This window comes from Homo sapiens, chromosome 5 (genome assembly GCF_000001405.40).
Source record: "Homo sapiens chromosome 5, GRCh38.p14 Primary Assembly".
NCBI lineage: Eukaryota > Metazoa > Chordata > Mammalia > Primates > Hominidae > Homo > Homo sapiens.
This window is the reverse complement of record NC_000005.10, coordinates 135,557,666-135,570,555: the sequence shown is the minus strand read 5'-3', so window position 1 is coordinate 135,570,555 and position 12,890 is coordinate 135,557,666. Positions and strand designations below refer to the sequence as shown.

General features: G+C 48.2%; 3 annotated features.

Moving 5' to 3' along the window:
* Window positions 75-575: an enhancer, noted in NCBI's record as "H3K4me1 hESC enhancer chr5:134905671-134906171 (GRCh37/hg19 assembly coordinates)". NCBI's record gives its function as "activates a minimal SCP1, AML or CMV promoter by ChIP-STARR-seq in primed H9 embryonic stem cells {active_cell/tissue: H9 hESC(primed)}" and the evidence as "EXISTENCE:reporter gene assay evidence [ECO:0000049][PMID:30033119]".
* Window positions 1,308-2,237: an enhancer, noted in NCBI's record as "H3K4me1 hESC enhancer chr5:134904009-134904938 (GRCh37/hg19 assembly coordinates)". NCBI's record gives its function as "activates a minimal SCP1, AML or CMV promoter by ChIP-STARR-seq in naive H9 embryonic stem cells {active_cell/tissue: H9 hESC(naive)}" and the evidence as "EXISTENCE:reporter gene assay evidence [ECO:0000049][PMID:30033119]".
* Window positions 4,868-5,388: an enhancer, noted in NCBI's record as "OCT4-NANOG-H3K27ac hESC enhancer chr5:134900858-134901378 (GRCh37/hg19 assembly coordinates)". NCBI's record gives its function as "activates a minimal SCP1, AML or CMV promoter by ChIP-STARR-seq in naive H9 embryonic stem cells {active_cell/tissue: H9 hESC(naive)}" and the evidence as "EXISTENCE:reporter gene assay evidence [ECO:0000049][PMID:30033119]".

Sequence of the window (12,890 nt, the reverse complement as noted above, 5' to 3'; positions counted from 1 at the left end):
AACACCATCACCTCTGTGGAACGTGTGGAGCTGTCATTACAGTCAGGAAGCCAAGAAGCCAGGCCTTGAGGCTAAGGCTCCTTCCCCGACGATTCCTACCCCTGCAGCAGGTGTATCAGAGCAGGCAGGTTGGAGCACAGGGAACTAGAGGGTCACGATCCCAGCCTCCTCCACGCAAGACCACACTGAGCCTCAGCACCAGAGGGCAGCAAAGAGGCTGGATGCCTCAGCCAAGGGCTCTCCAAGTTCCCTGGGGCTGCATAAGGACGGCAACAATAGAGGACTGGTGTAATTATTGCCTACTGTGAGCCAGACCCTGTGCGGGGAGCCTTACATGCCCTATCTCTTTGAATCCTGGTAACAACCACAACGGGGGTGGTTCTATTGAAGCTCCATTTTACAGATGAGGAAACCAAGGCTTAAAGAGGTGAGCACATCACTCATATTCTCCCACTTAGAGAAGATAGTAGATGGGGCCAGTCAAGATACCCTGGGGTCCAGGGCCCCAAGATGCCAGGGGGACTCGGGGAGGTGGGAAATGCCCACCTGGGAGGCTGTGGGACTCTGGAGCTGGGCAGACTCTGGACTCTGGAGGCGTGGGAGCCACGCCTGGGAGATACTGGAGCTGTTCCTGCTCCTGCCAGGTGGACAGGTGGACAGTAGGGCACACCTCATTGTGCTTCTAGGGACTGCATGTCGTAGGCCCATGTAAAGCACTTAGCAGGATACCAGGGCATGGTGAGCACGTGGTAATGGAAGCCCTTTTTTTATTTTTTTATTTTTATTTTTTTCCTGAGACAGGGTCTTGCTCTGTCACCCAGGCTGGAGTGCAGTGGCACGATCATAGTTCACTGCAGCCTTGAACTCCTGACCTCAAGGGATCCTCCTGCCTCAGCCTCCCAAGTAGCTGGGACTACAGGCACATACCACCATGCCTGGCAAGATGGGATCTCTCTATGTTGCCCAGGACAGTCTCAAACTCCTGGACTCAAGTGATCCTCCTCCCACCTCAGCCTCCCAAAGTGCTGGGATTACAGGCATGAGCCACCATGCCCAGCCAGAAGCTATTTTAATAAGCACAACACCAGACCAGCCACTTTGCACTTTGTACCAACTACCCACAGCCCTGCATCTCACCGTATCCTAAAGTCAGCCAGGCCCTGAAACAGGCCTCTCTGCCTTCCCTGGGTTCTCCACACCCAGAAGGACTCCACCCTGTCTGCTACACTAGCAACTGGAAGCCAGTCACCCATGTCCCCTTCACCTCCCCGGAAGCTTCCTGAAACACTGGTTCTGCACACACTTACGAGGACACCCAGCAAGTACCCTGTCTCAGCATGTCCCCGGCAAGATGCTACCACAAACGCTTTTATCACCATCTTATTTCCTCCTGGCGGCTTCAGATTACACCACATGTATTCCTGAGGAAGCTGAAGATCAGAGAGGTTGAGAAAGTTGCCCAGAGTCACACAGCTACCACTCATCACACCCTCCAATGGCTGGGCCTGGCAGCCTTTCTGCTGAGGGGTGGAGGAGGGGCAAGCTGAGGCCACAGTGAGCTGGTGACCATGAATGCCCTGCAGCAGCCCTGCCTTTCCCTTCATTATGGAGAAAGAAGGTAGACTAGACAGGGAAACCCCAAGACCAACAGACAGAACAGAATGCAAGAGCCCCAGAAGACAGTGCATACCAGGGCAGGGCAGGGCAGAGCAGAGGCCAAGCCTCTTGCTGGGAGCCCTGAACCCTGCCTGGCCTCAGAGCAGCACCAGTGGAGCCTCAGGAGGGAAGGGCAGTGTACAAAGCTGGCTGAAGAGCCCCGGCCACCGAGAGCAAAAGCTGCTCCAAGACAGCACAGGCCGTGGGGTGCCGCTTGTAAACAAGCCATACACACTCCCTGTCTTTGCTGGGGCTCTCCTCGTCCTGCCTGTGGCTCTAGTGCTAGGCCACCCTCCTCTAACTCTGCTGGCCCCGATGGTCCCTCCCTTCTCTGACATCCCAAGTTACAGATTGGATCATTAATAACAGCAACAGTGTCACCTCACACTGGTCCAGCCACTGATCCGGGCACTCACCCAAGCACTGGCCCCACATGCTCTGTCTGCACTCCCACAATGCGCTATGTGGCAGGTGCCCAGAGAAGTGAAGCACTTTGCTTAGGACAGTAGAGGAAGTCCTGGAAGTCAAGCCTCAGCTGGTCAAAGCGCAGAAACGGTGGAGAGTCTGCATGTAAATATCTCCATTCCCTACAGAGATGGGGTCCCAGGACAACAGAGGCTGGGCTATGCTTCCAGGGAGAGCTTGGGCCCTTTCCTCCCGCAGACAGGGATTAACCTGACCACTAAGAATAGACTCTGAGCCCAAACACTTCACCAAACACCAAATGAGGACCCACAGGCGCCTAGAACTGTGCGAGGCTCCAGGGAAGAATCTTCTCTCCCCGGCTACAGACCTGTTTCCTGTACCTCTTCTCTGGGCCTCCCAGTATCCCTATGAAGTGTCCACTTGCCAGCTTCCAGGAAAGAGAGTAATCCCAGTGCAGCAAAGCAAGGCCAGGTGGCCTTTCAGAGCGGGCTCTGCACTGGTGGCTCTCATGGGCTTCCCTGGATAAGAGCAAGCTTCTCCTCTGCACACAGGGCAGACCCGGCCCACATACAGGCCCCACCTCCACTGGAGCCACTGCATCCTCACAGTTAGGCTTGTTTTGATTCCAAATGCCATTGCCCTGACTTCCCATAGGCTCGTCCTGAGCAGGCCCTGGTGCTGTAGTGGGCTGACACCAGCATGGCCATGTCCTCAGAGAGCTCCAGCCTAGCCCTGCAGTTCAACTCCTCCACCTCACCTGACCGCTCTCAGATCTACTCCACTCAGAGCTTCTCCTGGTCATCCTGGACTGACTACATAATTTGCAGGCCTAGGTGCAAAAAAAAAAAAAAAAAAAAAAGATGCAGGCCTCCCGTTCAAAAATTATTAAGAATTTCTAGACGGCAACAGCAGGGCATTAAACCAAGCATGGGGCCCTTTCCAGACATGCTCTGTGCAACTCACATGTCACAAACCCATGGGGCCAACCCTGCCTCCAGTATCAACTCTAATATCCATATAGGTGACTCATTTTGGTCCTGAATTATTACATAATCTGCACTACAGTTTAACAGTTTTATTTGAACCTGAGCATCTAAGAAGAAGCCCTTCTTAGAAACCAGGAGCTGTGTCATATGCTGCTTTGTAAAAACCTCCCAGAATCTATGATAGCACTTACGAGGTATTCAAACACAGTTGAATTAATATTAGGATCATAGGGAGATCCCTGAGAACATGCTTTCTTCACGCATTCCTGAGCTACTGCTATGTGCAAAACTCTGCTGGGCACCATGGGGAACAGAGGTATGACTGGCTGTGCTCCTTTATCCTCAAGGACAGAGTTCAACCATTCATTCACCCAGCTACTGTTGCATGATTAAACATCTGCTCTGTGCTGGATGCTGGAGATGGCCCCTCCAGAAACTCAGTCTACAGGGAGGCAAAGAAGCTGCCTGAAATTGCCTGTTGGTCTGACTGCCAGACGGACTCACGGCAGACTCTGGGGCAGCCCCAAAGAGCGGGTGTCTCACCCAGGGTCAGAGGAGGAGACTGATCAAGACATCTGTCAGTCCTGGGAAGGCTCATGGCAGATTGCAAGTCATTATCAGGCAAGAAAAAAAAAAAAAAGGTGCTGATTCCATCCTGGCTCTCACATGGCCCGTGGCCGCCACGCCCATGTGCGATGAGATGGGCTAGCTGCGGCAGAGCACCAGGGGCAGAGAAGTAGAGAACACTGGGGGATTTAGAGGAGGCCCGGGAGCATCGGCCATGCCCCAGATGCATGTCCACAGAGCCCAGCCCCAGCCTCAGTCCCCACTCCCCTCTCGCCCAGCTCCCTTCTCTCTGCCTGTCCTGCCAGGACACCGTGATGGGGGCCTCCGGAACCTCAAAGGCAAAGAAGCCCACACAACCCTTCCTGCTCAACCTCCACACAAGGAAGACACCGTGCTGCTTTTTAGAGCCCCTGGGGTGTTTTCTTCTCCTCCTGTTTTTGAAAAGTTACATGGATATTCTTGGAGGTCTTCAAGAAAGCACTAAAACCCTAAGCTATTTTCTTGCTTTCAAAGTAACATTTCCCAGCTTCCTCCACGCAGGTCCGCGCTGAGCCTCACCACCAGAGGGCAGCCAAGAGTCCGGGTGTCTCAGCCAAGAGCTTTCCAAGTTCCCCGAGGCTGCATGAGGACAGCGACAAGGACTAGTGTAATTATTACCTACTGTGAGCCAGACCCTGTGTGGAGGGCCTTACATACCCTATCTCATTGAATCCTGGTAACGACCACAACGGGGGTGTTCTATTGAAGCTCCATTTTACAGATGAGGAAAACAAGGCTCAGTGAGGTGAACACATCACTCGTGTTCACACAGCTAGCAGGTGGAAGAGACAGGATTCAAACCCACGTGTGTCGGGCTGCAAGGAGACTGTCTGCTCTCTGAAGTACACAGTGTCTTACAGTTCCTGTCCACCCCAGCCCACAGGATGCTCCACTGTGCTCTCATGCTCCGGCTCAGGGCTGACCCCCTGTTTATCAAATGGAGATTAATCACCCAGTTAACCTGGGCCACACGAACAACCAGCCTCAGCCAGGTTTGTTTTGCTGGTGTCTAGTTCTGTCTCCTACAGGCAGACATCTGCAGAAATCACATGCTCCTCTAGAGCCTCTCCCCCCGATCCAGAAAGGGAGCCCCGGAGCTGTGAAACGGCTGCTCCAGCTCTCATTTGGTAGACACAAATTCCACTTCAGTAGAGGAGCAGCAGGGTTGGTTTTCCCCCAACACCAAATACACTGAAGACGCAAAATGACCATGATGTCGTCAAGTTCAACTCAACGCTTTGGTTAGAAGCAAAATGATCTTCTGTTGGGTAAAAAATCAATTCAAAGCTGGATTTCAAATAATCTGCCCCATTTCACAATGAGGACAGAGTTGATATTCCGGGATGAGTGGTAGGCATGTCTAATTAGATGCAGATGAGACTCTGATCTAATATTCAAAGTTTTTCCCCCAGAGCAACGGGGATGATGAAGCAACAAGCTCTTTCTTTCAACCCATTGTTATTTAAAGGCAGTGCTCACACAAGAATCATTTCTAAATCACAAAGGCTTTTTTCCCCTGAAATAATGGCCTGCAAAGATAGACTGGAGTTAGGTATTCACATCGGTACAGCCAAAAAAAATGTCATAAGCCAAGAAAAGTACGAGACAAAGCATACCCTTCAATTCATTTATAGCTACTAGGGTACCAATCCTGCTGATTCCACATATTTTGAGGGGAGCAAAGTTTAACCAACACAATAGCAACAACCGCACTTTCTTTCTCACCAAACTCCACTATAAGTCCTGTTTTGCAGATGAAGAACTTAAGGTTTAGAGAAGCTAAATTGTCCTGGGCAGTGTTAAAAGTTTTGGACACTCCTAGGTTGGATGACCACATATTCTGGTTGGCCTGAGACAGTCCTGGTTTATGGTAATTGACCCAATGCAATTATGAAGAATGTTCCCTTTCACTCTCAAAAGAGTCCGAGTATGGCTGATATACTGTATAATCACCCCACTGACAGGGCCTAGCAGAAAAGTATATATGACGGCTAAGGAATGATCAGTCAACCTCTCCGCTTGGATCACCAACTCGTAAGTGAGTTTGGGCCCTTTAGAAGTTATGGTAACTCTTTAACCCCATAGAGTACCCTAAAATCCCCTGTTCCAGCCTGGCCTGCCTTCCCTGCAGCCTGGATCTGATGTTGTCAGATTGTTCGCTGGGAGGCACCAGGTATTTTGGAGACTCATCTGTTGAATGAAGAACTAAATAAAAAACACTGTCCCTCTCTCCATGTGTCTGCCCATATGAGATTCCCCAGACGATTTAAGCATCAGGTTCTGGTTTCAAGAAAATAAAAGTCAGCCAGGCAGCTGCACTTCCAAGAGGACTGAGGCAAACTTTTCCTTGACAATGTGGTTGGCATGTGCTTTAAGTGAGGGATTAGCTACTTCAGAGGAGTGGTAATGCGATATGGGCCTTTGACATCCTATTCCAATTCAAGGAGGCTGTAGAAGGCTGAAGCATGCCAAGAAGGTTGGGGGATCCTTCCAGACCCAAAGGCGCAGCTCCCTCCCCACCTTGCCGAGGACTCCCTAACTCTGGAGTGTTAGCCCACCAGAAGGCTACTCACTTGCTCCTTTCCCTGAGCCTGAAGGAGCTGGGGTGAAAGAGAGGGCACAGACCTAAGATGCAGCCATGGGGTCCCTGCTGGTGTCACAGCCTCTCTGAGCCACCTGGAGCCAGGCAGCTCTGGGGTGGCCCCTGAACCCTTCAGGTTTACCGCCTCAATTTTCCTCTCTGTGTTTAGCCCAGGGCCAGAGCATCGTTCTTGGGACTTTAGGAAATGTCCAGTTGCCACTGTCTTACCTGGATGCCCACCCACTCCAGATGCTAGGGGTTTTCTGCACTTCCCTGGAAATCTATTCCAATGGCTTCTCATGGGAACAGATACACAAAGGGGCGCAGACCCCCAGCCCAATGTCCACCCCCAGCTGTCTGCAGAGCTGTCCTCAACCCTCTCCTTCAAAGTCTAGGGGCCCGTGGATAAAATAATTTCTCCCAGTCCCAACTTTACAACTATAGTATTAAATGAGATAAATGTCTCAACACAGAAAGTAGGCAGTAAATAAATGGTAGTTGTTATTATTATTATTACTATTATTATTATTATCATCTGCCTTTAAAATGTCCAAGAGAAACTTTAGTTTTATATCCTATAAAATCTGGATTAACCAACCTGGATTAACTTTACGTTTGTGTTTTTTTTTTCCTGAGACAAAGTCTTGCTCTGTCACCCAGGCTGGAGGGCAATGGTGCAATCTCAGCTCACTGCAACCTCCGCCTCTCAGGTTCAAGTGATTCTCCTGCCTCAGCCTCCAAAGTAGCTGGGATTACAGGTGCATGCCACCACACCCAGCTAATTTTTGTATTTTTAGTTGAGATGGGGTTTCGCCATGATGGCCAGGCTGGTCTAGAACTCCTGACCTCAAGCGATCCACCCGCCTCAGCCTCCCAAAGTGCTGGCATACAGGCTTGAGCCACCGTGCCCGGCCAACATTACATTTATAAGGCATAAAAAGGCCAAACTTGAAGAACGTATCTACCAAGAGAGGAATCTGAAACCTTCTGTGACCTTGGGCAAACTTCCATGCCTGTTTCATCACCTCCAAAATAAGAATAATAATAGTGCTTAATTTCAAAGAATTTCTTGAGACACTAAATGAGACCATTCAAATAGAATATCTAGCACTTTGTGTAGCATATAATAAGCACACAGTGAATAATAGTTAATAATAATAAATTTGTGTTTCTTAAAAAATGTATTTAACAGTCCAAGGAATCTTAAACCTGGGGGAAGAAATACCTTAGAATCTAGTCCCACCTTATATCCACTAGAAAAATTTCTTTGAAGCTGTAAATTTTTTAACTGCTTTTGAACTCTGGGCCCCCTTGAAAAGCTGATGAATGCTATGATTCCTTTTCCCTGAAAAAAAAAAATGCCCAGTATATTTTGCAAACCATTTCAGGAGATTCTTAGACTTCCCTGATGTCATCCTTATGGCTCCTTGGACCCTGTGTGAGTAATTCCTGCCTTAGACAATCCCAGGTAGGGCATCCAGAGGTGGCTTGGATATCTCCAGTAACAGGAGCCTCACAGCTCAAAAAGCAGCTCACTCTATGATTGGAAAAGTCCACATGCTAAAAAGTGTTAGGATTAAATCAGGACACTAAAAGATGCTTCCTGAGTTCCATCCTCAGAGCTACACAGAGGTAGCACAATGCCTATTTCAGGTACCAGCCCTTGACATGTTCAGAAGGCAGAGGCCATGCTGGGACATACCTGACCTTCTCCTGAGCTAACCCTGCTGTCCTCTCAGCCATTCTAGGTGATGGTGTCCAGGCCCCTGCCTTCCAGGTCACCCTCCCAAACCACCTGCTGTGTGGCTGTGGCTCATTTTCTTTGTCCTGGACACAGTACTTTTATTAACCCCATCTAAGTCTGCTAATGTTCTCAGCCACCAAGTCACATCCATTAAGCAAGCATTTAATAGGTCCCCAAGGCCTCATCACACAAGAGCAGAGTTTCATGCCACACGTATCTCCACTCCAATCTTACGCTGGGGTAATTGATCCTTTGAAGCTAGCCCTACCACTTTACATATGCCCCAATTAATCTTACCAGTTTTTTTCCTGTCACTTCAACCTTTGGGAAGTATTTGGAATTCACATTCTATCACCCAGTGTACTGAAAATGTTTGCAAATCTCTTAGAGGGTAAGGAGATCAATGAAACTTGTGCATCTCCCTGGGTTAAGCTTGGGACAAGGTGCCTTACCCAAGTTCTCATTCAATCTTCACATCAACCTTTTGACATCTATACTTCCGTCCTTGTCTTATACGTAAGAAAACTGAGTCTGATGGAGATTCAATCACTTGCATAAAGATACCCAGCTACCAGAGAGCCATGCCAGGATTTCAACCCAGGCCTGTCTGAGCCTCACTATTTTACCACACCTCAGCATTAACACATTAAACCGCATTGTTATAGATATGTGTGTTTCTCCAACTAGGATGTAGGATCCCTAACAATAGTGAATAGACTTTGTCTCAGAATTCCTAGCCCCTGTGAGTCCCTAGCACAGAGTAGGTGTTTTACAACTGCTGGGAGGAGGGAGAACAAGGAAAGCGGTCAGTTGGGGCTAGCAAGCTGGGAGGATGCTTCTTGGAACTGAGCCCTGATGTCCAGGTTCTTCTTTTAGAGCATATATTCAACTCTGTGAATCATTAGGAAATGTTATCATCCACACATGACCAGAAGGTTCTGGGACCCTCCCACCCAGGACATGCCAGCCCTAAAATTGTGACATTCATTCACCCGAGTCATTGGAAAGCTGACCTGAAGGGTGTCCTACGTCCCTCCCACACCTGGGTACCTCCCTGAGCCCAGCAGGTAGACTCTCCCCAAGGTGCCCCCCACTTCCCCACCCCACAGCAGCCTTCCTCCGTGCAGGCGGCTGTGTGGTGGGAGGGAGAAGGTTCGGGAAGCCTTTGACTTGAGATTTCTCAAAAGCTCTTGAAGGGACACTGAAATTCCTAACTCACTCTTTTTCAAACAGATTCTTGAGTGAACTCATAGAACTTTTGATACTGAGGAATCGGCCTAAGGAGAAGAGGCTTACTGTGAAATGACCAAACGCCACCACTGGTTTCCAACCACCATCTGGGTGCTGAACAGAGTTCTTCTGTCCACACAGCACCGCTTTTCCGTGCACACACCCCTCATGGCGTCCAACCGCGACTATGGCCTGTTTCTTTTCCAACAGGCTGCAAGGCTTTAATTCTGCGGAAAACCGTCAAGCAGCAGCTCCACTAAACACATCTCTGTGCATTAACAGGAAGTGCAGGGAAAGGCAGTCCGGGCCCAGAGCTCACATTAAGGAGAAAGGTCGAAAGCGCCATCTTGTGGTGCCTTTGCAACTTGCGTGCCGCTTGGCGCCTGAGGTGGGTGCCCTGAGGAGGGGAAGGCAAGGTGGAACAGAGGGACTTCCCCTTTTAACCCAGTTATTGATCATAAAAACCAAAGTAGAATGCTTCCTCGCTGCACAATCTAACCCTCGGAACTAACAAAGAAACTATAATGTATCGGATAAGAGCACAGTTCTAGAATCAGAAAGCGCTGCCTAGGTTTGAATCCTGGCTTGGCCATTTACAAACCATGCAACTTTGGTCAAAGTCCCGCTTGGAGACTCAGTTTCTCTAGTAGTTAAATGAGGATAATAACTGGGCCTATCTCGTAGGGTAGTTAGAAGGACTAAACCTAATCATGCACATAAATGCTTAGCACAGTCCCTGAGTGCCTACAGTCCCTTAGCATGCACATTACTATATTTCTGTTTTATGACACCACTGATGGTAAGAAGCAGCATCAATTTAATATAAGATGGAGGTAGGCGTGGGGCTGCGGAGGGCTGGTAATCCACTACCTACAATACGCACATTTATTAGAAGGCATATTTTGATTTAAGAGATGTTAAAATAGGAAGAGGAGACAGATCATTTTAGATCTTAGATCTTGCTGCACTGTGAGAGCAACTGAGTCACGTGGGCTGCCCTGCACTGAATCTGAGAACACAACACATCACCCTCAAGGCTGGCACTCCTCTCAAAGGTAGAAAATGCAGTCAACAGTCACCTTCTTAGGTGCCCGAGGGAAGGATTTCGTCCATTCCTGCTACCCTCTGATTGGGCATGCACCTCTGGGAGGGAGTGATCGAGCCCCAGGAACCCACAGTTACCCTTATTTCCCCACAGTTGGGTGGCTGGGTAATTGGTAGCTGCTGATAATTACAGGTGGGTAAAAAAGTAGCTACAGGGCAGAGATCAGGAGGGGCCTGAAGACTAGGAAAAGATAAAAATGAAAGAAGGGAAAGAGGCTCTTGCCTTGTGCCAGGCACAGTGCACAGGGAGGATTAGGGATTTTCCAACATTTCTAGGAAGACATTCGGAATGCCACTTGGTGACTCTCCTCCCATTTCAAAAGCTACAGGGCTACAGGGCAACCATGCCCAGGTAAAATGCCTTTATATTAATCAGATTTACTTAACCCTAGTAGGTATGACTATTGTGGCTGTCCTCAAAACTAACAGTTAATGAAACTTACTCCATGCCAGGTAGAGTGACAAGCACATTGTTTTATGTAACCTGCACAACCAGCCTGGGAAGTGGGCACTGCTGTAATCTCCGTTTCACAGAACAGGACGTTGACGTCCAGAGAAGCTCGGTAACTCACCCTCCTCTTCATCCAGCATCCCTCTCTTCCCCGTGAGGCCCAGGGGAGCTGTAAATCATGATTCCATGCACTCTGATGCTAGCCACAGGACTTGGGTGCACATGACCCAGGTTGGCCAATCAGAGCCCAGGATCCTTCCCCCAGCACATTGATTGGCTCAGATATGGACACCTGACCCAAGAAAGCCAGTGAGAGACTTCACAAGATTTACTAGATGGAAGCTGGAAAAACAGGCCTGTTTTCTCTTTGGGTCCCAAGCCGTAAAGACTTGAACTCAGAGAACCAGAAGTTTGTTTTGAGGTCCTGTGAAGAAAACCTGCCTGAGACCAAAGCCAACACACAGAAGGAATCAGAGCAGAGAAATGGAGTGACGGGATTAAGACCGCATGGGTTAGCCCCTGGATCTCGCTTTGCCTTGTACAGCCCTTCTCAGTTTATAGGAGCCAACTCATTCTGTTTTTGCCTAAGTTAGAGTCAAACCCCTCAGTCTAATAAATAAAGGCAAAAAAGAAAAACTGGTTAAAGCCCCGTTGCAAAAAATAAGTAACTTTATAATTACATCAACTTTATCATTAACAAGGCTTTAAAAAACAAGTACCTATGAATAACAGCCCCCAATGGATTCAAAATTGAAATAATCACATAATGTAACAAGGTTTAAAGCCATGGATTTGAACCTAATAGAGTAAAATAAAAAGCTAGCGTGGAAGGAAGATCTCCATTAGGAGTGATTGCTGAGCATAACAGAACCCTTTCTGGGTGTTTTGTGTTATCAAATATCTCTCTGCAGCAACTCTTTCCAGTGTGGTATTATAGAAATATCTTCAGGAATTGCTGAATAAGCCCTTTAAGTGAACAATGCCATTTCTAGGAGTCTATCCTCAGGGAAGACTTTCAGTGGAAGAAATTGATAGCTGCATGGAGATGTTCACTGAAGCATCATTTACCACAGGTAAAAATAAATAAATAAAAATAAAAGGAAACTGAATACTCAAAGGTCAGGATACAAGTAAGTATATTATAGCACACAATTTTACTAAGTATATGTAGCTAGTGAAACTATTCGTGTGAAAACTGTAGAAATGTTTATTCAAATATTTGTTGAACACCAATAATAATTTGCTGCGTTTTGATTATGGGCTGTTTTGCATGCTTCCTGACATTTCATCCTGGAATCATTTAAATGTTAGGTAGTTTTTTTTACAATCCTTTTTTAGGCGAGTAATCTAGGGCTTAGAGAAATTTATAACTTTTTGATGAAAGTGGCAGACGAAGGATTTGAACCTAGTAGTCTGAGTGCAAACTCTAGACACATGCCCATTCTGCTGCACACCACAAACCAGGTGAGCTGCTGAGAGAGCCTCCTAAGTTATGCGTATAGGCAGCGCATGGCCTTTGTGGGAGCTGCTTTGTCTGTTCAGATGTCCTTTCTGGCTCACGTTCTAGGGGGAGGCGGCGGAAGGGGGTTTTATTCAGCATCTACCAGGGGCCAGGCCCTGTACTAGGTACTTGGTTTCCACTGTCTAATTTTTCCTTTGCAGTGATCCCTAGGGGGGAGATGTCACAATCCCTTTCCATTTATAAGGAAGATCGAGACGTTTGCTCAAGGTCAGGGGCACCAGCCCCTTATTCACATGTGTAACCAGCAGATGAACAGGGGAAACCATGGAGACCCGCTCAGTCAGAGCAGAGTATAGGGAGCTGGGAATGGTCTGCGGTAGTGGGCGGAGAGGGGGCTTTCAAAGATGGGCAGAAGGGTATCTGCACTATAAATCAAGGGTGGGCACAATGGAGAGAACAACTATATTATATAAATGGCTACCGTTATTGCCTTCATACACTATGCCAACAGTATCCATGATTATCTCACCTCATCCTAATAATTGGCCTCCAATCCAGGCGTTATTATTCCATTTTACAGATTAGGACACCCAACAAGTCAGTGACACACCAGCCTACAAAGCTAAGTAAAGATCCATCCTCTC